This window comes from Homo sapiens, chromosome 20 (assembly GCF_000001405.40).
Source record: "Homo sapiens chromosome 20, GRCh38.p14 Primary Assembly".
NCBI classification, from domain to species: Eukaryota; Metazoa; Chordata; class Mammalia; order Primates; family Hominidae; genus Homo; species Homo sapiens.
In genome coordinates, this window is record NC_000020.11 from 23309249 (window position 1) to 23335967 (window position 26719).

The 26719-nt window shown below is 47.3% G+C and overlaps 2 long non-coding RNA genes across 5 annotated transcripts in view; both read right to left on the reverse strand.

Moving 5' to 3' along the window:
- Positions 1-207: 207 nt before the first annotated feature.
- The window catches only part of NXT1-AS1 (NXT1 antisense RNA 1), a 42012-nt gene continuing 15500 nt past the window's right edge, over positions 208-26719 (reverse strand). The window contains exons 2-3 of the long non-coding RNA XR_937384.2: positions 604-905; positions 208-452 (exon numbers count right to left, since the gene is read on the reverse strand). This is a non-coding gene — a long non-coding RNA (NXT1 antisense RNA 1). The remainder of the gene's footprint in view (positions 453-603; positions 906-26719) is intronic.
- LOC105372571 (uncharacterized) lies at positions 11705-26619 on the reverse strand. Of its 4 annotated transcripts, none has more exons than XR_937379.3 (3): positions 23319-26619; positions 13071-13117; positions 11705-11961 (listed from the first exon to the last, which is right to left on the reverse strand). It is a non-coding gene; the product is annotated as an uncharacterized LOC105372571 (long non-coding RNA). The 4 variants fall into 4 exon arrangements; XR_937381.3 differs by having other exon boundaries at positions 11705-13117; positions 23319-23541; positions 24124-24378; XR_007067747.1 differs by lacking the exon at positions 13071-13117.

Genomic DNA, 26719 nt, shown 5'->3' on the forward strand with positions numbered 1-26719 from the left:
CCCCCACTCCCTCCTCTCTGTCTCCCTCCTCCTCCCCTTCCCCCACTCCCTCCTGTCTCCCTCCTCCTCCCCTTCCCCCACTCCCTCCTCTCTGTCTCCCTCCTCTCTGTCTCCCTCCCTCTCACCCTCCTCCTCCCCTGCCTTCCTCTCTCTCTTCATCTCTCCCTCTCTCCCCCTGTCTCCCTCTTCCTGCTCCTCCATCTCCCTTTCTATCTCTCTCCCCCGCTCCTCCATGCTTGCCCATGGAACCGGCCACCATGTTATAAAGAAGCCCAGTCCACATGGAGAGGCTCATGTGGTGTCCCAGCTGGAGCCAGCACCCTGTAGGCTTGTGGCTAGATGAGTCTTCAGAGATTCCAGTCTATGACCTTCACATCTTCCAGCTGAGGCCCATGATGGAGCAAAAGCAAGCCATCCCACTGTGCCATGTCTGAACTTCTGACCCAGAGAAACTGTGGGAGATAGTAAAATGATCACTGTAGTTGGAAGCCCCCATGTTTAGAGGACATATGTTATGCAGTAAAGGACAACCAATCCAAGTGGAGATGGAGATGATATGCCAGTGGGTCAAAGCTCCACACCCTCCTTCTCCTGCCCCCTCACCTCTGCCCAGGCCACCCGCCAGCTTCTCATGCTCTGCCTGTCTCTCCTGCTCACTCTCTCACGGAAGGCCCCACTTCTCATGCCTGGTAAGGCTGCTCTCTTGTTTCTGCTACCAGTTCCTGTGGACCCATCTGCAGTCATCGCCGCCAGGTGTTCCTGCTTCAGCCGTCTCTGCAAGGCCACAGATCCAGCAGCCAAGAGTTGCGTACAGCCTGGCCATCTGTGAGAGATGTGGCTTCCCAATTAGAGGTGACATTTCAGACGAGTCAACCCAGGAGCCGCAGCCTCCGCACAAAGACGCACTGTGAATAATCACAGAGATAACAAAGTGACTGCTAGAAAGAATTCATTAATTGGGATCATCTTCACCCCAGAAATACATGTGAACATGACATTTGACAGCATCTAAATTCTAATTTCACACCTGTCTGCAGCCACTACCTCCTTTCTCCTTCAGCTCATCCACTCTGACACCTCCTGCTATCCATCCAGAGCTTCACCCAGACACCATCCCACCCCACCCCCACTTCCTCACCCTGCAACAGTCCCTCCTGCACCAGCCTGGGTTGCAAGACCCTGCAGGGAGCCCACCAGCCCCCACGACATGGGTGCATCCCACCTGCCCTGGGCCGGACTCTCCCTCCAGGCCTAGGACTGTGCATTCCTCATCTTCCCCCCATACTTGGTCCTACCCCTGCTCACGACCTTTGCTCCTATTTCACCCCAAAAAAGTAGAAACAGGGGCTGGCTCTACCCTTAGGCCTGGCTGCCTCTGCTGCCCCCAGTTGCTGGTAAGCCGAGGGTTCCACTGGCCTCGGGGACTCACACCCACCCACAGCTTCTCTGGGGCTGTGCCCCTTCCCTGGCCCTGGCTATCCCATCAGAGTCTGGCCTGCTCTCCACTTCTCTCTCGCCCTAAATGCTCTTTTCTTACCCGTGGAAGTTCTCACTATAGACACGTTCACCCATTCCCATAAACTCAAATAACCCTATAAGCCTAATGACTCCCTGTTATAAATCCAGACCCATTTCTCCCCTCAGCTCCAGTTTTGATTTTCCAGGGTTTACCCCATGTGGATGCCTCATGAACTTTATACACAGAAGGGCTCACATGTGCTCTGGTTTCCTCCACACACGGTAGGTCAAGGCAGGAAAGGCGGTTCCTCCCTTTCCTCACCCCAACAGCAATGCCAGATTATGAAATCCCCAAAATGCATCTCACCCATGGCCCCTTTGCTCCGTTTTTCACTCCTGTCACCTTCCCTGACCACCACGACCTCTCTTCAAGTGCTTCAGATTGCGCCCATCCATTCCTACCCACCACCACCCGCCCTGTCCCCCTCCCCTCCCACTCCAGCTCTCCAACCCATTTCCCACAGAGCCCGGGGAGGGGGGTGCCCTTTAATGTGCATGCATTACATCACTGCTGCACCTGCAACTATTTTGACAGCTCCCATTAGGTATGAACAGCATTCCTCCCTGTTCCTTGCCACACCAGGCTAGGCGTGACCTGTCTCCAGAGGCTCCTCCAGCCTCATCCTATGCCACTCTGTGGCAGGAATGCCTTCCCACCAACCTTGTGCACCAGCCATGGGGTCCTCCTTCTGCTCCTTGAACACTCCCAAATCTAGTCTACCACAGGGCCTTTGCATTAGCTATTCTCTTTGCCTACAATGATCTTTCCCCCGATCTTCACGGACTTGGCTAAAAGCCTACTCTTAGAGGCCTTCTCTTGACAATCCTGTCTACACCCAGTCTTCCCTTTCTTACTTGCTAGTCACTCCTTCTTTGCAATTCCTTTATTTATAAATAGATCATGCAGGGTTCTAGGTTCTGTTCCCTTCATAACATACAATGTGCCCCAAATTTCTTTATCATCTTCTGTGTTTGTGTGTGTGTGTGTGAGCGTGTGTGTTATCTGTTTTGCCACCCAAGGGCAGGGCCATGACTCTTGTTTATTGCTGTATTTCACATTCAAAAGTACACACCTGGCAGTAAGTCGATGCCCAGTTACTATCTGTTGAACAAGCGAGTGAAAGAGTGAATATGTGTATGTCATGAGCAACACCAAGGACAGTGCAGAGTTTTCCTTGTAATCCTGAACCCCAGAAGATGAAAAAGGATGAAAAACGTTGTCATCAATGTTTTCTATTGTGTGCGACCTCTCAGGGACATTGATAAACAGGACAAAAATGTAGAGACTTGTTAATCACAGGAAAAGAGCTGCCCTTTCTCCAGGGACTCAGGGGAGGAGGCGTCACTCTGACTTGTGCACTCTGTCTGCGACCTTCTGATAAAGAGCTGACAAATCAAGTCAACTCAGACGGCTGTCATTTTGTGCGTTAGGAGGTGTTTGAGGTAACAGCTGTCTTTATTCCTAGGAGTGGTAAGGCAAGAAGGAGCTGTCAGTATTTCCCACACTGGAGGCTGCCTCAAATAAAAGCATTCCTGGTGTAAGGACAGCCATAGATGTTACTGCACTAACAGCAACCTGGTAACCTTTGTCACCAGGGTTCTCAGCTAACAACATCTTGGTTCATTGCTTTGACTGATGAAGCTCTGGAAACCTAAGTGATTTTCTTTGTGTTTGTCCTGGACGATGAGGCAAGCAGAGAAAGATAAATCAGAAAGTTCTTTGTAAAATATTGTCAGGTTCCCAAAATGATCCTTGGAAAAAAGGATATAGGCTTATCTGTCTTTACTTTTTAGAAATACAATTAATGACAGACACAGACTATTTTAGTGTCCCCACATCCTGTCTATCAAAGACAGGGAATCAGATTGTTCTTTCAAAGATTGCCCTGTTCATTTACTTTAAAAACATCTTGAGCACCCATCTTCAGCCAAACACTAAACTGGATCCCAAGAAATAGAAATGACCAAGACACAATCCTGATCTCCATGATCAGGATTGCTGGTAAGTGAAGAAGGCAGAAAAATAAGCAAAAGATCCCAAAATGGCAGGATAGGACTGTGATGGAGGTGTTCCCAGGGCTTCACCAGATGGGTAAGTGGAGGAGTGAGTGAAGGTAGCAGCAGAAGAGGCAGAGAGAGCTCTCGGGGGGGATGGATGACTGGAGGAGCTTCATTCTGGGCAAAGGCCAAGAATGTCAGTGCTGGAGGGTGACGGGATTCAGTAGACTGGCCTATGCTCTTTGTCCAAGGCTTGGCATCTAACATGTTTAAATGCAGAGCTCTGCCCACAGGAGGCCAGGCAAGGGAATGGTCAGTGCTGGAAACATACCTTTTATAGGAACTCGGTGGCCATAGTGTATGGCACCTTCTCTTTGTAGAGCACTCAATGAAGACATGCTTTTATTTGGTTATGCCCCATCTTCCCAAAGACCTGGAAAGCTCTTTCCTTCACCACTAACCCCCACCACCAAACATCTTTTGGAGACAATCCTAGCCCAGGCCCAGGGCCAGGTATTGAGGACACAAAGATGAGGAAGATGCCATCATCACCCCTCAGGTACAACAATCAAGCAGACCTTGAAGGCCAGGACTTCCTTTATCTCCTTAAACCCCCACTGCATGCATAAAATAAAATGGGAAACTTACAAATCATTGTTGGCTGAGTTCCTTCCCCAACTCTGTCTTTCCCTTCATTCCTCCTGAATTCCAGCCAATGGCAGATTCACAGGGAACACACTTCCAGAAAGCAGAGAGCACAGAGCAAGGGAGTGGACGACAAATAGCAATGCTGAAACTTTCACCATGTTTGTCAGATGTCATAAACACTTAAAAAATGATTATACTGACTGTGATGACATTGGAATATGGAATAAAGAATTTTTATAATTGTTAAATATGTGAAGCGTACCCCAGACATCGTGATATGTCACCCCTAAATACTTGGTATGAGGACATTTTAAAAACTGACTCTGGTAGATTCAGGGCCATATCTTCAGAACAAATAATAACAATAATAATCTTTGACACTGAAATAACATGTAGAAGGAATTAGATTTTTGGTGTAGAGCTAAGGAGTTCAAATATATATATAAATATATTTGATATATATATATTTGATACATAAATATATATAAATATATTTGATATCTATACATTTTTTATATATATATATATCCTTCAAGTTTTTATATAGAGAGTGAATTTCATGGAGTGAGTAATTGAAGCTTTATTTAATTATTTATTTTACTTTCTGAGACAAGCTCTCATTTTGTCACCCAGGCTGGAGTACAGTGGTGTGATCATAACTCATTGCGGCCTCGAACTCCTGGGCTCAACTGACTCTCCTGCCTCAGCCTCCCAAGTAGCTAGAACTATAGGTACACGCCATTGCTCCCAGCTAATTTTTTTTAGAGACAGGGCCTTGTTATGTTGTCCAAGCTGGTATGAGACCTCAAGAGATCCTCCTGCCTCAGCCTCCCAAAGTGCTGGAATTACAGATGTGAGCCACTGTGTCCGGGCAACAGCAGTTAAACTTAGATTGTCATTTATTTACTTACTCTCAATACAGAGTAGTTGATGCTGCTGTCAAAGTAGAAGAAATAGCCCCAGAGAACCTTTCAGCCACTCTCAATAAGTTGGTCTAGTGTCTGTCTGTTTCAGTTATCTATTGCTGTGTAACAAACCAACCCAATGCTTGTGGCTTAAAATAACAATGTACTATATATATCACAGTTCTGTGGGTTGCCTAGGCAATTCTCCTGTACTAGTCAGGGTTTGCTGCTGTGGCTATCTTCAGCTGATGGCTGGGCTGGGCTGGGCTGGACAGCCCAGGATGACCTTGCCCCCACGTCTGGTTGGCACTGGTGGTGGCTGCTGGCTGGAATGTCTCAGTCTTCTTCCCACAGGCTGCACCATACTTCCACCTATCATGGAGGTCTCAGGCTCCAAGAGAGTGAGAATGGGAGTTCTCGAGACCAGAACTAGAATGTCATTCCTCCAGTCTGCTGGTCAAAGCAATTCCCAGGGCTAATCCAAATTAGAGGCTTCACTTCTTGCTGGGAAGAACAGCAACTTCACGTCGCAGAGGGGTGTAGCCCTAAGAGGCTTCGCTGGGAACCATTTCACTATAAGCATGTGTCACAGTGCCAGGAAAAGCACAAAGGAACCTCAGGATGTGCAACATTTAGGCCTCTGCTAAAGGTTGAAAGGAAGGGAGATATTCCCCAAGAGATCCTCTGATGATCAAGGGGACAGGCTGCTACACATGGGAGGGATGCCTGGCTCCCGTGTCAAAGCTGCACATTTGCTATGTCTCATTAAGGTGTTTCCTTCAAATTCCTGGGGAAATGACCATCGGCATGTCTCCCTATGGCCTTCACTAGAAATGCTTTTTCACTCAGAAATACAATTACAAACAAGCATGCATCCAGGGAGTACAACCCCAGCCGGCATGTGTCAATGCATCAGCCGCCGGTTCAGTGAATAGAACTATGAGAAAACGTGTTTTTCTGGTCTCACTTTGGGCTGAAGGTCAGTTTCATTCCCATTCAAAGAGAGCGTCGGGTCACCCAAGGCTCCTCCACACCCTGGCTGATCCAAACAAACATGCTGTTCTTGGCAGACCAAAACTCCTGTCTCTGCAGGATTGCTCTCTGGAGTCCAGCGTTTTCATGCTCCATCTCCAAAATGGGGCCACGAGGGAAATTGCTCAAGACACAGAGTTTTGATCAGCACAAAATATACCCCTCCTGAGAACATGAGCACACATGGAGAGCCATGTACACCAGGTGAGAACCAGCTTCAGTCCCATCTCCGTGCCCTTTCCCATCAGCCAGTCCTGCCCAAGCAGGGACATTCGCCCCACTTTCTAAACAAGCACACTGAATTCAACAATATTCTGGCAAGTCATGAAGAGCTGTTGTCTCGTTCATTTTGGTCCCACCATCACCTGGCAAGATTTCAATGCACTCTGGCTGCAGGCTCCTCCTGCTGAGATCATTCCTGTGTATCCCCGACACATCCACCCTCATTCATTTCCCCTGTCCTCACAGACCAATCCAGGGTACCTGGAACAGTCAGGGACCTTGTTTGCAAGCAACAGAGTCTGAAGCTGGCTAAGGCAGGCCAAAAGGGAAATTTCAATAGAAAGCTGTCTAAGAGCTCACAGAATCAATGCACAGTTTGGCAACCAGTCTTACATGTTCCTCTGGGTATATCATGCACCCCTAATGTGGCTGAGAGGTTCCAAGAAGCCTCTGCTGTTTAATAACATCTACACTGAGACCTGAGAGATGTACAAGACTCACCAGTGCAAGGTATCAGGAGGACCCAGCAGAGCCACTCCCTGCCAGCCTCCCTCAGTTTCCATCAGCTCTCTTGCACCAGACATCACTGGGCTTCCAGACCTTACACCACCTAGGGATGTCCTAGTCTGGTCTTGGGGAAGTAGTGCTCCTTTGGGAGTCAGGAAGTCGAAATATTTTTTCCTGCCCCAGGATCCAGGGAATGACACTACTCAGCTATGGGCTTAGTTCCTTCCAGATATGGAAGCATGTGGACTTTGTGACTTTGAAGGCCCACCCAGTCTTATGTTCTATTTAGCAGCAGAGAATCCCAGCTTCTCTGTGTTCTACCTCCAGCTTTATAGAATCATGGCATGTTTTGCAGAGTAGTCACTGTGACTACTACTGCTTACTGAGCACCTAGTCAACCACAGGCTGTGCCCTAATGAAGGTAACACTGAGGTTCCTAAGCTTCACAGCAACCCTGAGCCAGAGGACCCCGGACTCCTGTTTACCTGTCCCCCAGATATCTCTGGGCTACTAAACTCTCACAGTACAAATTATCCCAATGCGCAAATAAAATGGTTCCAATCCCCACTCCGCTCCCAGATGGCAACCATACCTGAGTCCACAGACTATTCAGCAGCCAGCACAGAGTGTCCACCATGCTCCCTGTCCCCTCAGTGGCTGTTCCTTGTTAACTTCTGCTGCCCACAAACCACCTGCCACTTGTGCCTGTCACAGGCACACCACGCTCCACATCCTGAGCTCTCCCAGCTATTTGGATGTTGAGGCAGGGCTGGGCTCTGTGCAGGGTGAGGGGTTCTTCTATCATGTATGTGGTCCCTTGGGCCCAAGGCAACTTGGCCTTCATCCAGATGCCTCATGGGGTTCTTTTCTTAAGGCCCATTCTTCCAACTCTGCCTTGCCCAGACCCTGTCCACAGCACTGCGTTCAAATGTCCTTCCATCTTCTCTAAGGGCCACCATGCACAGTCACATTGTTCTTTCCTCCTTTGAGTAAAAAACCAAAGTTCCAGACAGAACAAGTCACTTAATCTGCAGGGCCCAGTGCAAAATGAAAATGCAGGTTCCCTTGTTCAAAACTGACTAAGAATCTCAAGACGATGACCACAAAGCATTAACCTAGCATGGGGCCCTTCTGAGCCCTGTGCGACTGCACATACCATGTGCTGGGAAGTCAGCCCTGGCGCCAGGCACCTGGGTGGCCATGCACGGGTGGTGAGGAGGATCTAATGTGCATGTCAAAGGCCAAAAGATCCCATGTGGGAAAACCAAGATGCTCTATGTTTGTGCAACTTTCCCATGGCTTTCTTCCACTCCACCCCTCCAAAGTGCTCAGCAAATGAATTTAACAACTGAATGAAAGCGGGGAGGAACAAACCTATGAGTTGGCAGGAAGCAAGACTGGTGCTTGGGTTTCCTGGCTCCTTCTTCATTGTTTCCACTCTTCCCAACTGCCAACCCTGTGCTGTAGGAGTTGTTTGCCTTAAGGGAAAGGTATAATTTTAAATTTATAACTAGGTCAGAGTAGCCCAGAAACTTTTTCTATCCTTGCTAGGGAGCTCGTGCCCCACCCTCTTGAGTGACTTTCTCAAAATATTTTGCAAATGTCCTCTCCAGTTTCCAGATTCGCCTGTGTCAACACAAGATTGGTAAATTAACCAGAAAGTATAGGACCTGAACTCAGACGCTCAGAATTGAGATCCCTGCTTGAAAGTGAGAACTCAAGCACCTTCAAAAGTGTCATAAAGCAAAATCGCCCGGCTGTCCTTCCATCTCCATGGGGGAAGATATTTTTTGGAAGGGCTTCGATGATTTCCCTATAATATTTTTGCCTGTGTCACTACAAGACTCTGTCCTAAGCCCAAGCAGAAGCCCCTGTGAGAAGCTGCAAGAGCAAAACTATATGGTATAGAGGGAACCACTTGCAGACAGGCTTGTTTTGCAAACTACTTGTATTTGTCTTATTTTTTATTTATTTTTTTCGCGACGGAGTTTTGCTCTTGTCACCTAGGCTGGAGTGCAATGGCACAATCTCTGGTCACTGCAGCCTCACCCTCCTGGGTTCAAGCAATTCTCCAGGCTCAGCCTCCCAAATAGCTGGGATTACAGGCATCCTCCACCATACCCGGCTAATTTTTGTATTTTTAGTAGAGATGGGGTTTCACCATGTTGGCCAGGCTGGTCTCAAACTCTTGACCTCAGGGGATTCTCCTGCCTCAGCCTCCCAAAGTGCTGGAATTATAGGCATGAGCCACTGTGCTCAGTCCTTTTTTTTTTTTTTTTTTTTTTGTCTGCCCTAATCCTCTAAATAAACAACAATTAAGCTAACAGCAGTGAGAGGATAAAACCAACATAATCTTTTCTGTGTTCTTGTTGCATCCAGACCTTGCAGGCATCGTGCACCCTGAATTATGCTTCTTCATCCACCCCTCACCCTTACCAACTGAACACATTATTCCCCAAGGTGAGATGCAATATTATAAATGGGTCCTAGAGCGACGAGCGGCTGAGCTCTGCAGGAGAAGCCCACACAGGGAGCTGTGTGGAGGGTGGGGGCCAGTGCTGGAAGAATTCTGGTTTTCATTAAGTTTAGGCAAAGTTAACCACATGGACGTATTCTTTTCTGCTAATTTCAGACATTCTGAGTTTTAAAGTGCAAACTAAATGCATTACATATCTAGAAGACACTGGAAGAAGGCAGAAGGGATGATATAGTCTGTTGTGGAAATCGAGAAGTGGACTTCCTCAAAGGGCACATGGCAATGCAATTACGGCAAAGCATGGCTGCTGGAGGATGGAGCTCTTTAAAGCAGTCCCATGAATCTTGCTGTGCCAATGTCAATCCTCACCTGCCTTCTTTCCCTGCCCCAGCCCTGCCAGGTGTGTTTTTTTAAATCTTGATTTTCTTGTGAAGTAAGATCTTGTTAATTAGAATGGAAACAGCAACAATTTTCAAACAATATGTCTTTTGGTTATTCATCTATCAGAAAGAAGAGAAGTTGATATCTGGGAATAACTAGGAACAATTCATGTTTGGGTTTTCCCTATAAAATGGAAGAATAGAGCTTCAGTTAAATAAGCCATCATGGAATGGGAAAGGCCATGGTGAATGCTGTGTTGTGGTTTCCCAGACACCCCTCATCCCCTAACAGACCACGATGGTGGCGCCAAAGGCTCCCTGCTAAGCCCGTCTGGGAAATTTCCTTGGCCTAAAGACAGCCACGTGGCCCAACGCCCACCCCTCCACCTGAGTTCCATGTTGTCTACCTTCTGATGTGAATTTCCTTTATTCATTCTTAGAAGAGGTTCCATGGTACAGTAAGATTGCAAAAGTCCAGTGACAAGGCCCAGAGGTGGGGTGTGGAGGGGAGCAGAGGTGGAGAGAGAAAGAAATAATAATGCAATAAACCAGTACGCCACACACTTGGGATACTCAGTAAATGTTTGTTGGGTTATTGATCTATTTATGGAAACACTTGTAAATAACTAAGGACTGATGATCCTGAAAGCAAAATATAGTCTTCCTCCCACTTCTCCTGAACTTGAAGAATCTCACAGAATTCTGTATTTATACCAGCAGCATATGATATGATTTGAATCCTGTTATTTCATGAGATGTTTAAACCAGACTTTCTCAATCTCAGCATGATTAACATTCGGGGCTGGGTAATTCTTTATTGTGTGGTATTGTCCTGTGCATTGAAGTATTTTCTAAGTAATGCCCCTGACATCTACTCACTCAATGCCAGCAGCACCCCCAGTCCCAGTGTGACCAGCTGTCTCCAGACACTGTCAAATGTCCTCTGGGAGCAAAATGTCCCGCCTTGAGAACCACTGATTTAGAGCAATGACCCAGAAGAACTAAATATTTATTCAAGAAAAGAACTCTGAATTATTTTGACTCAGATCTGCAAGAACATTTTTATCTATTTTTTTTTTTTTTTGAAACAGGGTCTCACTCTATCACCCAGACTGGAGTGCAGTGGCATCATCTCTGCTCACCACAACCTCCCCACTCCCAGGCTGAAGCAATTCTCCTGCCTAAGCCTCCTGAGTAGCTGGGATTAGAGTTGCATGCCACTACCACTTGGCTAATTTTTGTATTTTTAGTAGAACGAGTTTCACCATGTTGGCCAGGCTGGTCTTGAACTCCTGACCTCAAATAATCCACCCGCCTCAGCCTCCCAAAGTGCTGGGATTACAGGCCTGAGCCACCATGCCCGGCCTGCAAGACCCTTTTTCAATAAAAATTGGCCAGCTGGAAACAAGATCCCAGACTCCACAGTGATCTGGTCCAAGCATCCTGGTTCTCCACGGTTGTTGTGTCTTCCTCCCCATAAAAGCCAGGAGCCCCTCTCACGCTGCTTATTTGTTCCGGCATTCATCTAGCTGAGCACCTGTTGCACATCAGGCATTGCTCTGAGTAATGCGGATAAAGCTGCACACAAGACGGAGGCTAGCCCAGCCTCAAAGAACTTTCCCTCTAGTGGAGAGGAAGGGGACGGCACACAAGGAAATGAATATACAACTTCAGTGGGAAGTCCACGTGAAATGGAAGAGTTCCCTGAACCTCCTCACATGACACGCAATAGGGGTGTGGCTCATCTGTTTGGCCACCTCACCTGTGCAAACCCCTTACAGGAAGGGGAGCATGCAGACAAGCAGGTGCAGGAGCCAGGGCAAGCACCTTGGGGCTCCAGCCCCATGGTAGCTTCTAGGGGTGGGTGCCTGCAACTCCCAAAGCCCAAGTAGGCATGTGTTACCATGCATTCTTTTAGCTGTGCTGCCTGCAGATAGCTTAAGTGTTAACCAGCTCAGTGCCCTCATGGTACCTAGGTCCTTGTCCGGCATCCAGGAAGAATCAGGTCACACACAGACTTGAGGATGGTGAATGCAGGGTTTTATTGAGTGGTGGAGGTGGCTCTCAGCGGGATGGATGGGGAGCTGGAAAGGGGATGGAGTGGGAAGATGATCTTCCCCTGGAGCTTGGCTGTCCTGCAGTCTATCTCCTCTCTGACCTCCCCCAGCTGAATTTCTCTTGGCGTTCAGATGGTCCCTTTCTTCTCTCTGCCATGCCATTCTGCTGTTCTTCTGTTCTTCTGCTCGTTCCCTCGTCTGCTTCTGAAGCCTAGGGTCTGGGGTTTGTACAAGTACAGGATAGGGGGGCACAGCAGGCCAAAAGGCAACTTTTGGGCTTGAAAACAGGAAGGGCTGTTCCCATTTAGGGCCACGGGTTTCCAGGCTTGAGGGTGGGATCTTTGCTGGGGAACCGCCCACTTCTCAGTATTTCCCTGTCTCCTGTCCTTATCACGTGTAGAGAAAAAAGGCACTCAGCTAGAGAGGGATGGGGAAGGTGTGAGCTGTTTTAGGTAGGAGGGTCAGGGAAGGTCTCTCAGATGAGGTGACATTTGAGCAGAAACTAGGATGAAAAGAGAAAGCCAGCCCTGTCAGCGTCCACTGCAAGAACAGCTAACCTCTAACCCTCAGCCCTGGGAAAGGCGCAAACACAGCTTGCTCTGAGAACAGCAAACAGGGCACTGGAGCTGAATTGGTGTGAACAAGGGTACAAGGGGGAGAAGATGAGGTGGGGAGATGGAAGGTGCATGCCATGCAGGGACTTGGCTTTGATTCGATTTTGGCTTATAGTCAGAGTGAGCGGGAAGCCAAAGGAGGGTTTGAGCTGGGGGGGACTGACAAGTTTCTAAAGAACCACTGTGGTTGCTATGTTGGAAATAAAAAATGAGGGGGTTGGGTAAGGGCAGGGGCAGGAAACTATATCAGAGATGTAGCTAATTAGGATCAGCTGCATGGGGCCAAAATTCCCAAATAACAATGACTTCAGTAACACAGTTGCTTCTCTCTCTAATGTAAACCAAGTATAGAGATAGGCCGATTGAGGCTGGTAATGGAGACCTTAAATTTTCTTCCAGCCTGCTTCCCCGCCATCCAACATTGCTGCCTCACAGTCCCAGAGGGTGGTTCAGTCCCAGCCAGCACGCCTGCATTCCAGCAAGCTGCTGTAAGGAAAGGTCAAAGAAGAACCCATTCTGTCCTTTTAAGTGTATTTCCTAGAAGTCGTATAGGACACTTCTGTTTATTTCCTATTGGCCAGAGCTCCAGGGGAGGCTGGCAAATGCAGGTCTGTATTCTGAGCTACCATGTGCCCTCCCACTTCAAAATAATCGGGAGTTCTGTTCCTAAGGAAAAAGGGGGATGAATGCGGGAGACCATTAGCCATCTTTACCTTGGAGAAGACTGCACCAGTCCAGGTGAGAGATGATGGAGGCTCAACTGGGACGGGGAGAGTGGGGGTGGGGATGAAAAAGAAAAAAACTTATCTGAGGAATATGAGTCTTTTTAAATGTCAAACCCACAACAAGCATGTTAAAAAAATGGTTAACATCACTAATCATCAGGGAAATTCAAATTAAAACTGCAATAAGGTATCACCTTACTCTGCAAGAATAACATTAAAAAGTCAAAAAACAATAGATGTTTGTGTGGGTGTGGGTGAAAAGGGAATGCTTATACACTGCTGGTGGGATGTAAATTGGTACGACCTCTGTGGAAAACAGTATGGAGATTTCTTAAAGAATTAAAAGTAGATCTACCATTCGATCCAGCAATCTCACTCCTGGGTTATCTAAACAAAGCAAAATAAATTATTATATCAAAAAGACACCAGCACATGTATGTTTATTGCAGCACAATTCACAATCACAAAGATATGGAACCAACCTAAGTGTCCATTGACCAACGGGTGGATAAAGAAAATGTGGGATGTATGTGCCATGGAATATACTACTCAGGCATTAAAACCAACAAAATAATGTGTCTTTTCCAGCAACTTGGATGGAGCTGGAGGCCATAATTCTAAGTACAGTAACTCAGGAATGGAAAACCAAATACCGCATGTTCTCACTTATAAGTGGGAGCTAAGTTGTGGATGCGTGGAGGCACACAGAGTGGCATAACGAACACTGGAGACTCAGAAGGGGTAGGGTGGGAGGGGTATGAGGGATGAAAAACTACATATTGGGCACAATGTACACTACACTACTCAGGTGACAGGTGCACTGAAATCTCTGACTTCACCACTATACAATTCATACACGTAACCAAAAATCACTTGTACTCAAAAGCTATTGAAATTTAAAAAATAATTTTTAAAAATAATAATAAGTTGAGGGTAAGGGAGTACATGGATCTCACTGTACTTTCTGCTCAGTTTTGTTGTGAACCTAAAACTGCTCTATGTAAAAGAATAAAATCTATGTAAAAGAATTTTAAAAATTAAAATAAAAATAATAAAAAATAGAAATAAATAAACATCAGGCCAGAGAGATATTAAAATGAGACAGCAATCATGTGCTACTTCTGCCTTGAGCTATGAATTTATCTCCTGAAACTGCTTGCTATTGCCACAAGTAGCTATGTCTTATGTAGCTAATTAACATAATAATGCTTCAGCAGACACTATAACCCACACTCTATAACTTAACAATGTGTAGCCAATCAATCACTAACCAATATTATTGCAGTTAAACCAATGAGAATTCCTAACAAAAAACTTCATACTGGCCCACTCCCTGTCCCCCTTTTCTGCCTTTGAAAATCCCCTTGTGAGTGCTGCTGAGGGGGTATATGTATTCAGGCAGCTTGAATCAATGTTCCCAGGTTGCAATCCTCAAGGTTGGCCCGGATCAACCCTACTTATATAAATTGTGCCCCAGCTTCTTCTTTTTAGATTGACAGTGGATATTTAGAAGTGGTGAAATTCTGGAAATATTCTGGAGGCAGAGCTGACCTGTTTTGCTGATGACTTAGGTGTGGATGTGAGTGACAGAGGGGAGCCAGGAATCAAAATTGTTTTCAGTTTCCATGGCTGCACAACAAATTACCAGAAACCAGTCTGTTGAAACAACACAGATAAAGCAAACAGCCCTCTAGAAACCTGGGTGCAGGTCTCACTGGGCTGAACTCAAAGTGTGCATGGGGCTGGGCTTCTTCTTTGGGCTCTAGGGGAGAATCCTTGCCTTGCCTCTTCCAGTTCTAGAGGCTGGTTGCATTCCTTGGCTCATGGCCACCTAACTCCAGCCTCTCCTTCTGTAGTCACCTCCCCTTCTCTGACTCTGATCTTCCTGCCTCCCTCCTATCAGAACATCAGGCCCACCCAGACGGGGAAGCCAGGATCATTGCCCCATCACAAGATCCTCAACTGAACCACACATGAGAGGTCTCGTTTGCCATGTAAAGTCACGTAGTCACAGGTCCCTTGGATTAGGACATGGTCATCATTAGGCGGCATTATTCTGCCTCCGCAGAAGTTTTAGCTGAATAACCAGGAGACTGGACTTGTCATTTAGTGAGATGGAGAAGAAGAAGGTTTGTGGGGAAGGGCAAGAGTCAAGCCCTGGTTTTGGCGGTGTTGATTTGGGACATCCTACTAGGCACCCAATGAAGAGAAGTGGAGCTGGCTGGTGGGAGGTTCAATATGAAATACAGGGATCTGAGCAGGAAATGTAAGTTGTGGGGTCAGCAACAATTGGATAGGATGTGCGACCCCAGGACGGGCTCTGTTTATATTGGGAATGTAAAGAAAGTGGTGTGGGAACTGAACTCTGAATGCCAGTGCTTAGAAGACTGGGCCATGAGGAAAAACCAGCACAGGAGACTCATAAGGGGCTTCTGGTGGGGAGAGGGAGACCCAGAGAGTGTTTCTTGTTTCTTTTATGAGTTTCATTGGCAACAGTAAGAAAAAGGGCTCCCTCTCTGGCTTTTGCCCAATACCCTGCCACTGCACCCCCTGCTCAGGAAGAAATGCAATCGGTTGAGGCAGCAGAAACAGGACAGAGGGCAGCTGGGAGGTTGAATACACCTTAGGAGTGAGAAGGGGTAACAAGGTCTTTTGGGACTGACAGCTCCTACCTTTTGGGTGGCAGCAGCACCTTCCCTGGCACCAGGTCCCATCCTTCTCTGCAAAATAGCTCTTTCTGTAGGATGTTACCTTTCCTGCAACAGTGGACCTCAGCCTCAGCTATGCAGCTTTGAAAAGTTCTTATGCTTGGGAACCACCCCAGAATTTTGGATTTAATTGATCTAGGACGAGGCCCAGATAGGGCAAGCTTAAATGGCTCTCCTGCTGATTCCAGCATGCAGCCTGCTCTCCAGCTACAGCAAACCCTCCATCCACTGCAATCCCTGCAGGAGGCTGTTTTGCTAGCTTATACCTCAGATAAAGTCCTTTGTGTTTTAACTGTTCCTATGAAGTCCTGGTGAGGACGTGGAAGAACAAGAGCTCTCATGCTGTGCTGGTGGGATGTAAGATGGTGCAAGTGCTTTGGAAAACTGGCTGTTCCTTAAGGAGTGAAATGTTCACTTAACCACAAGGTCACAATTTTACCCCTAGATACTTACTCGAGGGAAATAAAGGGTAGGCGCGGTGGCTCATGCCTGTAAACCTAACACTTTGGGAGGCCGAGGCAAGTGGATCATTTGAGGTCAGGAGTTAGAGACCAGCTTGACCAATATGGTGAAACCCCGTCTCTACTAAAAATAAAAAATTAGCTGGGCATGATGGTGGGCGCCTGTAGTCCAAGCTACTGGGGAGGCTGAGGACAGGAGAATTGCTTGACCCTGGGAGGCGGAGGTTGCAGTTAGCCGAGAACGTGCCACAGCATTCCAGCCTGGGCACATGGGCATAGAGGAAGACTCTGTCTCAGAAAAAGGGGGGGTGTGGGGGGCAGGGGAAATAAAAAGATAACACCACAAAAAGGCTTCTAGACAATATCCCCTAGAAGCTCTATTTGTCCAAAACTGGAAACAGCCCACAGGTAAATAAAGAGATTGTGGAATAGCCATATATGGAATGCTACTCGGTGATGAAAAGAGACAGACCATCAATGCACTGAACATGGATGAGTCTTGAAGATATTATGCTGAACAAAAGAACCCAAGTGCAAAGGACCACATATAAGTGCAATTCCCCATGGGAAGCTCTAGAAGAGGCACACCCAATCCACAGTGACAAATGCAGGCTGTCTATCAAGGAAGAAAATGGTCCCTCAATATCCATTTTCTCCATCCCCAATATTCCTCTGAGCACATGGCCACTCAGCATAAAAGCCACATTCCTCAACATCCTTTGCAGCTGTGCATAGCCATGTGCCTAATTTCCAGCCAGCAGGAAGTAAGCAGGAAGAAGTGTACAACTTCTTTAAAAAGAAGAGTTAACGATTTTGCCATCTGAGTGATGATGAGGACGTTTCCAGCCACCAAGATTGCTGATGCCGAAAAAGAAGAGTTGTCTCCCCTTTCCTTCCCACCTTGGTCAAAATATACCATCTTGCTTGGGTCAAGAAGATAAGGAATGGGACAAAAAAGTACCAGACACCGTGGACCATCACATTTGCCTGGACTTCCTACACCTGCACTATTATGTGGAAAGAATGCAAGTTATGCAAGTTATTTCTTTGTGGAACCTCTCTTATTTGGGGTGGCTATCAGAGCAGACAAATCTAGGTCCTAACCAATTCAGGTTCAGGGGATGAAGGGGGCTGAAATCACAGATTCTCAGGAGGTTATCACAATGCAATTCCTCATTCAGAGGACATGAGGAATTAGCAGACAAGCTGTGGGGAAGGAATGGAGCCTCCGTGTCTCCAACCTCCCTGTCCACCAGGGCAGCCACTGGAAACCCAGGACTTGGCATATCCCACAAGTAAGAGAAACACACGGTGTCCTCCCTCCCGAGCCAGGCCTCTCACGCGCGCTGATGATGGCAGTAGCCATGCTGCTCTCAGGACCAAGGAATCTGTCCCACAGCCGCTGGGAGGTGTGTTGGCCGATACCTTCAGCTGTCAGCTCTCTCCAGGAGCCACCTCAGCCCAGCCGAGTCCACATGAAGTCTTGTCTCTCCTGGGAGCAGCTGCACCCAATACTGATCCACCTGGAGTGTGGAGGCCCTCCCCTGAGCTGACCAGCTCTGAAGAGCCATTATAGCCTGACAGGTCCCCAGGGGGTGGCTGAGGCCTCTGTGGAGACACCTGCAGCCTTGTTTTTCCCTGGTGAACCTCCTGCTCTCCAGTCTCAACACAGAGCTGCTCCCCCTCTGGAACCAGCCAGTGACAGGCAGACAGCTATGTGTGGAACACAAGAAGCAATTGCAAACATTCTCTCCACACAATGCCCACAAGACCCCACAGGCCACTACTACTGAGGTCAACAGTGGGTTCTACCAGTTTTTTTAAAAATTAGATGAGTCTGGGCATGGTGGCTCACACCTGTAATCCCAGCACTTTGGGAGGCCAGGGTGGGCAGATTGCCTGAAGTCAGGAGTTCGAGACCAGCCTGGCCAACATGGCGAAACCTTGTCTCTACTAAAAATACAACAATTAATCGGGCATGGTGGTGGGCGCCTGTAATCCCAGCTACTTGGGAGGTAGAGGGAGGAGAATCGCTTGAACCTAGGAGGTGGAGGTTGCAGTGAGCCGAGATCATGCCACTGCACTCCAGCCTGGGTGACAGAAGAAGACTCTGTCTCAAAAAAATAAATAAATTAATAAATAATAAATAATATATAAAAATTAGGTGAAATGAGGAAGAGCCAGTGTCCTGGGCTGGATGTCACCCATATCCCAGATGAGGCACATCATCTGGGGGGCACATCACGAACTTACCCACAATCTTTGCCTAAGTCACAGGAGGGCTGTAAAGAGAGCCGGGAGAGCCCCAGACACGCAGAGAGGCTGCAGGCTGGGAAGGCTTGAGGGGAGACCCTCAACCAGCGCCACGGGGCAGGAAAGTGGGGATGGCTTAGACGGCTAAAGCCTGCTGAATGACAGAAACACCCTTGTCTCCCCAGACGGCCTCAAGAAGATATCATTTCTCGACAGTGCCATAGCAAGGAATTTTTTTCTGGGAATTAAGCAGTGCAACGCAAGGGAAGAGGGAACCGCAGGAGGCCATAGGATCCCAGCAGAAGCCTGGGGATTTCAGCATCACCTGCATCTGGAAGGGCAAGGACCTGAAAGCTCTATACCGCTCTGGCCGCTGGCCACCATCCGAAGGTCTCCCCAGCAGCCGGCACCCTGCACAGGGTTCACAGGAGGCTCAGTGTCTGCACAACACAGACTGCGGCAGGAGCAGAGGGACACCACACTGGCACCAGCCACTGGGCCTCAGTGGGCCCCTAGAGATTAGATTTCTCCCTTCTGGCAAAAGAGCAAAGTGCCATCTCAAGCTGCAGGTCAAAAAGTTCTCCTATGTAATTGTCCACTTCTTTTATTTAAGAACTCAAGGTAAAAACAAATTTCTGCTCTAACTGGCAGTCAGACCTCACGCTGCTTGATGTTCACAGTTCCCAAGCCTGAGCCACTGCTGGTCATCAGGGTTGGTGGTCAAGAGGACAGGCTGGACCTGAGCAAAGGAGGGCCATGTCACGCTGGGACCTGTTGGACATCTCTGCATCTGTCCATCGCCATATCCGACCTCAACCATGCTTGAGAGTGACAACTGCCACCTCACTGCAGCCTCCTGGATCTCAGGCAAGTTTTTCTTTGGCCAGCTGTAACCTGGAGCTGCGCAGGGAAGGGGTTCAGGTCACAGAGCTTGGCCAGGTCAAAAGGCACCATCCAGCCAGAGCCCTGAGGTGTAGCTGGCTGGTTCTTCAGGCGTGTGCAGCCCCTCCCTGGAGTCCTACCCCAACAAAGAGCATGACGCTGCTCCTCACAGTGGCCCAACCTCACCTCTCAGCCTCGGTTTCCTCATCTGTACAATGGAGACAGTCATAAAACCCATCTGACAGGACCATTGCAAAGATCTTCAAAAACTACAAAGCCATACCAAGATGAAAGCAATCATCACCATTTAAGATGAGAAAAGCAGAATCTTGAAGAACAATGTTCAGTTTGGAGCATCAGTTTGCTTTTCCCTCCCCCTAAAAAAACTCCACAATTTAGGAGCTGCTGCCAATCATGAATCCTGACAGTGAATAATGATAATTTTGCAATTGTTTTACACAAGTTATTTAAAATAAAATATCTGATGTGATTTCCAAATTACAGGGCTTGTTCCTAAGCAACAGCACAGGCTTTAAGAAATATGCACAAGAACAGAGAGAATCCAGGGCTGTGTTTTAGCAGCAGCTGTGCTGGGTAAGGGTAAGCCTTGGCCAAGGATGTCTGCCTTTCCCTCACCATTGCCCTCTGCCTTAGGGATCTCAAGAAGAAAGTGACCTTCTCTTCTTCTTTGGGGAGGCAGTTGACTCCTGACACATTGGCCTGGTGGGCCATCGGCTTCTACCCTGGCTTCCCTGCTGCTCCCAGCCATTGGTCCTTCACGAAACCCCCAAGGTTCATGTACCACATTCTTATTCAGGGCTGGTAGTGCATCTCTGCAGGCCCTTGCACCTACAAAGTGCAGGTGGCCAACTTCTGGCTTGTTGGGGCCCCTGCTCTGCACACACACACGTAGGTGGAACCGCCCTCCTGAGACCTCTTGGTTTTCATGGACCATGGTACCACCAAGGCATTTCCCCTTCTCAGCCCAAGTCTTTAGAACCCCATCTCTTCCTCATGCCTGTAGTTGCCCAGCAGGCTCTCATTCAGTCCTTGTCCACTCTTCTTGGTGGGCCCAGACCCATCTCTTCAGTCTTTTTCCTTCATGGTGGAGCCCATAAGACATGGGGCCAACAAGACCCCACTGGGGCTTGCTGTTTTTATGGTTAACAGTGGGCTCTATCAGTTTTTAAAAATTAGATAAAATGAGGAAGGCCGAGTTCCCTGGTTTGGATGGATACCATCTCTTTTGCTGAGCTGCTACCTAAACGAATGCCTTTATTTGCCATCTGCTAAAAGATTAGGTCCTTGAGAGCTGAAACGACTACCCTAGCTGAAGAATTGTATCTGATGAAGTGAGATGCTGTTCTTTGCTCCATAGTGCCTATTGGAGTCATTCCTTGTTGCCACCACCCAATGATTAAGATTGGGAGAATTTCTCTATCAAAGGCAATTTGTGGAACTCAGTCTGCTTTTGCATGGCTGCACCCTATTCTCAACAGTCCAGCACACACAAGTCAAGGATATAATAAAACTTCACCAAGTGTGATGGTTGTTTTGTGTGTCAACTTGACTGGGTCACAGGGTGCCCAGATAGCTGGTTAAACGTGGTTTCTTGTGTATCTGTGAAGCTGTTTCCAGAAGAGACCAGCATTTGAATTGGTGGACTGAGTAAAGCCGATGGCTCTCCCCCCCGTGTGGATGGGCATCATTCAATCTGTTGAGAGCCAGAATAAAACAAAAAGGCAGAGGAAGGGCAAACGCTTTCTCTTCTGAAACTGGGCCATCCATCTTCTCCCATCCTCAGACATTGAAGCTCTTGGTTCTCGGGTCTCCAGTCTCAGCCAGGTCTTAGCACATTGGCTTCTGAGTTCTTGGGTGGAAGAACTGCCTGACTGCTTGAGTTGGGACATGGATCTTCTGCCCTCTGCGCTTCTAGTCCTCAGGCTTTCAGACTGGACTGGAATCCACACCATTGGCTCTCCAGTTCTTGGGCCTTTGAACTACAGCACTAGGCTTCCTGAATCCCCAGCTTGCAGATGGCAAATTGTAGGACTTCTTGACCCCCATAATCATGTGAGCCAATGGCTTATAATAAATCTCCTTTTTCTAGATATATATCTGGAAATATATTTATTCATATAATTCTTACATTTATAATTTATATTCATATAATTTGTCACATTATTATTATATATTATATATAACAGCACACATTGAAGATATATAGATTTATATCTCCACTATCCTACTGATTCTGTTTCCCTGGAGAACCCTGACTACTGTACCAAGTGTAGTAGCATTCTGGGTAACCCACCATATCCCAGGATGATCACCCACATACATGCTACAACTGCCCCTTTCCTGGCCTTATTTTTTTCTCTCTTTTCTTCCTTTCTTCCTTATCGAATATTTATGACATAGGATTACTTATACTCAGAGATAGGGCCAAGCTTGTCTCCCACAAAGATGAAAGAGTTGTATAAACTCACCTCAAAGATGCTCCAGAAAGGAAATCAAAACAGTTTCAGAACTTGAATAGGAATCAGGAAAGAATCAGTGTTAAAGTATATTTCTCAAAATACAAATCACCTAGGGTGGGAGTGGGGGCTTGTGGAAGTTCACATTCCCAGGTCCTGCTCAGATGGACTGAATCAAAACACTAGAGATGGGTCTTGAGTTCAACATTTTGAGCAAACTTGCATTATTTGTTTGCTTGTGGTTGCACACAAGTTTGAGAACCAATGCCATAGATATTCAGGAACAAGGACATATGCAGGAGCTGCATTTTAGGAAGCTAAGTCCAGCAGTTTATGTAATATGCACTAAGGGGAGGGGGTGCTGGACACCTGGAGAAGATCAAAGAAGGATGGAGGCACTTGCAGTAATCCAAGTGTAAAGGCAGAGCCTCGAGTCAGGTCTTGTAGAAGCAGAGCCAGAGAGAGGGGTGTGGGTGCCCATGACTGGAGGGAGGACTCAGGAGGAAGAGACGGAGGGAAGCAGAACAAGTCAGGGAAGGAGTGAGATGGCCTCATATCCGCTGCAGTCACACCTCAGCCTGGCCCCGCTGGGGGCTCTGGAGCAGGGGCTGCACTGTGGCATTGATCCACCTTGACTCACAGGCACCATGTTTGTAATGTGGCTATTTCCAGCCAGCACACACAACAGCTGGGGGTGTGACCACTCAGTAAAATGAATTGGGCAGGGCACCTGCAGAGTTATAATACATCAACCCTGGAACAATACACACCCCTTCGAATTTACTGACAGGCCAATTTTCAAGCCAAAAATACAGTCCTCAAAAGGGTGTCAGTGGCTGGCCAAGGGAGGTATTAGTGGTGTTAGAAGGAGAAAAGGAATCAATCCCTAGAGAAGATGCTACTTCTTCAGGGTCTGATGATTTCATTTGCAAGGATTTTTATTGGTGTTTTTTCTAAGCAAAGTTTACTGGAAAATACTAAAAGAGACCCATGGCAGGGACTGGAAAGGGAAGAGGAAGAAGTGACTAAGCTGATGTTTTACGCATGACTGACTGGGACGATAACAGTATCAGAACAGAAAGGACCACATTCAAGTCTTCTTTTCTGTTTCTCAGATGTTCACTAGAGCCATATCTGACCAACCAAGTTCCTTCAGGAGGGACTCAATCCTGAGATCGTCAATTCATCTTTCTCTCACAATAGCTTCATTAAAAACCCCACAATTCAATGCTGACAAATCCCCATTACTTCTCATTATAAATCTTAAAACCATAAGAATTAGCGTCTTCCTTACTACATAAACTTCCAGACCTCAAATCTCACCTTTTTTGGGTAAGGGTAAGCTATTTGTTGACATTTGCACAAACTTTTGCCTGGCAGAAAATTTTTAAATAATTTCTAAAGAATCATTCAAATAAAATGCCAGACCCAGGAAGAAAGAACAATTTCACTCACCAACAACAATAATGTCTCCCTCAGCCATCTATCCACACACGTCCAGGCACATCCCTTTTTGGTTTGGAACTGGTCAGGTGTGCACTGTGAAGGCATGACAAGTTGCTTCAGGAAAAGAACGATCAGGTGCACAGGCTGAGGCAGGCAGACAGGCTCTTATCTCTATCCCCAGTAGATCCATCACAGGGCATAAGAACAGCATAGCTCTTTGAGTAACTGGTTTCTGTGTAAGCAATATATGACATTTCACAGACATTAGGCTCCCTCTGGGAATTCTTCTTCTGCATGGCTCCTTTACAAAACGAGATCCTCTTCAAGACTGGTTGGTGCATCTTGGTCAATAAGAAGAACATCAGCTCTATCATCATCTAACCCTTGAGGGTTTTCATTTAAATTATTGATTACTACCCACTATTGTAAAACAGCCTTACTATATCTTGAGTAAAATGCCACTTTTACAACCCTTGGTCTCTACTTTATATTTTTATTATGAGCTTTTCAGATCCTCCTGATATGGATTTAGCTTACAATGGTCAATGAAAAACAATCCAAACAACCAACACGTATGAATAAAGACAAAACAAAAAAATTTAGAACCCAGAAGTCATTTGGCTTTGACTCTGTCCAATGCCAGCTGAGTCCATTTTTCTTGTCCTATTTTCTCTGCTAAATGAGCCCCCAAAACTCGTTCCAGAGAAGTGAATAAAATGCATGACTCAGGATTCCCATCTCATTTATCTCCTGCCTCATGGAACCAGAAGCCCCTTTTGTCCTCCATCAATCCCTGTTTAAATAATATTCCCACCTGCAATAAACTCTTTCTTCAGTCTCCACCAAAGGGCCAGCCCGTTGCATGCACCAACCTTCACTGAGGGGTTCGGGGTCTGAGAAGTGACTGGCTTTGCCCTTCTATGCATGCTTGCTTTATTACTTAAGGTTATGACTTAATGCTACTTAATGAAAACCCTGGCTGGCGGGTCTGCAGAGCAATGCTTCAGAAAGGGCTCTGGATAGATAATCACCATTTGCCAGAGCCCCTCAGCATTCCCAGTGCCTCCTTTCTTTCTTTTTTTTTTTTTTTTTGAGATAGAGTGTCACTGTCGCCCAGGCTGGAGTGCAGTGGCATGATCATGGTTCACTGCAACCTCCACCTCCCAGATTCCAGCAATTTTCCTGCCTCAGCCTCCCAAGTAGATGGAATTACAGGTGTGCACCACCACGTCTGGCTAATTTTTGTATTTTTAGTAGAGATGGGGTTTCACCACGTTGGCCAAGCTGGTCTCAAACTCCTGACCTCAGGTGATCCACCCACCTTGGCCTCCCAAAGTGCTGGAATTATGGGCATGAGCCACTGTGCCTGGCTGGCCTTCTTTCCCTTCCCTGTTTGCTTTCCCACTCCCTACTGGTGCTCCCGAGCATCACCTGCAAAATGATCAAGGAGTTCATTCTTAGGTCAGGGAATCCATTCTGAGGTCAGGAAGTCCATTCTGAGTTCAGAAAGTTCATTCTGAGGTCAGAGAGTTCATTCCTAGGTCAGGGAGTCCATTCTTAGGTCGGGGAATCCATTCTGAGGTCAGGGAGTTCATTCTGAGTTCAGAGAGTTCATTCTGAGTTCAGAGAGTTCATTCTGAGGTCAGAGAGTCCATTCTGAGGTCAGGGAGTCCATTCTGAGGTCAGGGAGTTCATTCTGAGGTCGGGGAGTTCATTCTGAGGTCAAGGGTCCATTCTGATGGCAGAAAGTTCATTCTTAAGTAAAGAAGTTCATTCTGAGGTCAGGCAGTTCATTCCTAGGTCAGGAAGTTCCTGTTTAGGTTGGGGAGTCTATTATTAGGTCAGGGGATTCATGCTTGGGTCAGGAAGTTTATTCTTAGGTTGAAGAGTCTATTCTTAGGTTAGGGAATCCATTATTGCTTCGGGAGTTCATTCTCAGGTTGGAGGTTCATTCTTAGGTGGGGGATTTATTCTTAGGTCAGGGGGTCCATTCTGAGGTCAGAGAGTCTATTCTGAGGTCAGGGAATCCATTCTGAGGTCAGAAAGTTCATTCTTAGGCCCAGGAATTCATTCTGAGGTCAGAGAGTTTATTCTAATGTTGGGGAGTCCATCCTGAGGTGGGGGGGGGTCCTATTCTTAGGTCAGGGGGTCCATTCTGAGATCAGGAAGCTCTAACCTAAAACAGTCTTTAGCTGGAATCCCAGTGTGGCCACTTAGTAGCTGAGTGGTCTTGAGTAAGTCAGGACCTCCAGGTCCACATGATGATCCCACCAGGTAGGCTCATTCCCTGGGCAAATCTCACTACTCAGCACCTGCTCTGTAGCAGAGATCCTGAGAGTGCCCATGTGTGGTGGGTGCTCAGTGTCCTCTTCAGATTCTGCTCCAAGGCCAGGGTACCCCTTCCACACTGGTGGCTGAGCGCCTTCTGCATCCTCACCAAACCCCCCGCTGGTCTAATGAGCAGCCTATGGAAGGGACACGGGGAACCCTTGCTTCAACTCTGCAGGTTTCCAAAGCTCCAAGCTCCCCAGGGGCCAGTGGAGGCCTCTGTTGCAGCAGCATCAAAGCCCCACTGCTCTCTTACCCTTCCCAGGTGGGACTCCCAAGATCCCCTCCCCAACGAACCCCTACATGCAAATCTCCATCTCAGGGTCTGTTTCTAGGGGACTCAACCTGAGACGTACTTCATAATGTTGCTGCAATCATCTAGGACAGAATAATCATAAATAGCAAAGCTCTGAAAAATGTTAAAACGTAAGTAGTAGCAGTAGTAGCAGCAGCAGCAGCAGCAGCAGCAGCAGCAGTAGTAGTAGCAGCAGTAGTAGTAGTAGTATTTTGTTATTGTCAACATTCTCATCATGAGGGTCTTATGGCCTGGACTCTGGCCTGTGGGTCTCAACCCTCCCATGGCCTCCTGCAACCATCTCTCCCCTACCCCTCCATAGCACATAGCCTTATAGATTAAAATGTTCCTAATGGCCCCCAAACTGGTTGTGGCTCCCCCAGTGCTTGGGGGATTTCAGAGGGGCTGGGTAACAGTTTGGCTTCTGCAGCCATTTCTGAATTTCACTTTTGGTTTGTTCATGCTGTGCTGATGCTTCAAGAGTTGACCACAAAGTAGCCACCAGTCACCAAAGTGGCACAGGCTGGCCTGAGGGTCATGAGCCGACCCACTGGGCCATGAGTAACAGAGGCAAGCTGGCTACTTGGCTTCCCCTCACATTTCAAACCCGTTAAGCCAGGCAGGGGTGTGGGCACGCTGAAAGAACGTTCTTGTTCTCAATCTCTTTTAACTGGTGATGCCAAGAAGAAACTTAAAAAAAAAAAAAAAACTGACCAGGCGCAGTGGCTCAAGCCTGTAATCCCAGCACTTTGGGAGGCTGAGGCGGGTGGATCACTTGAGGTCAGGA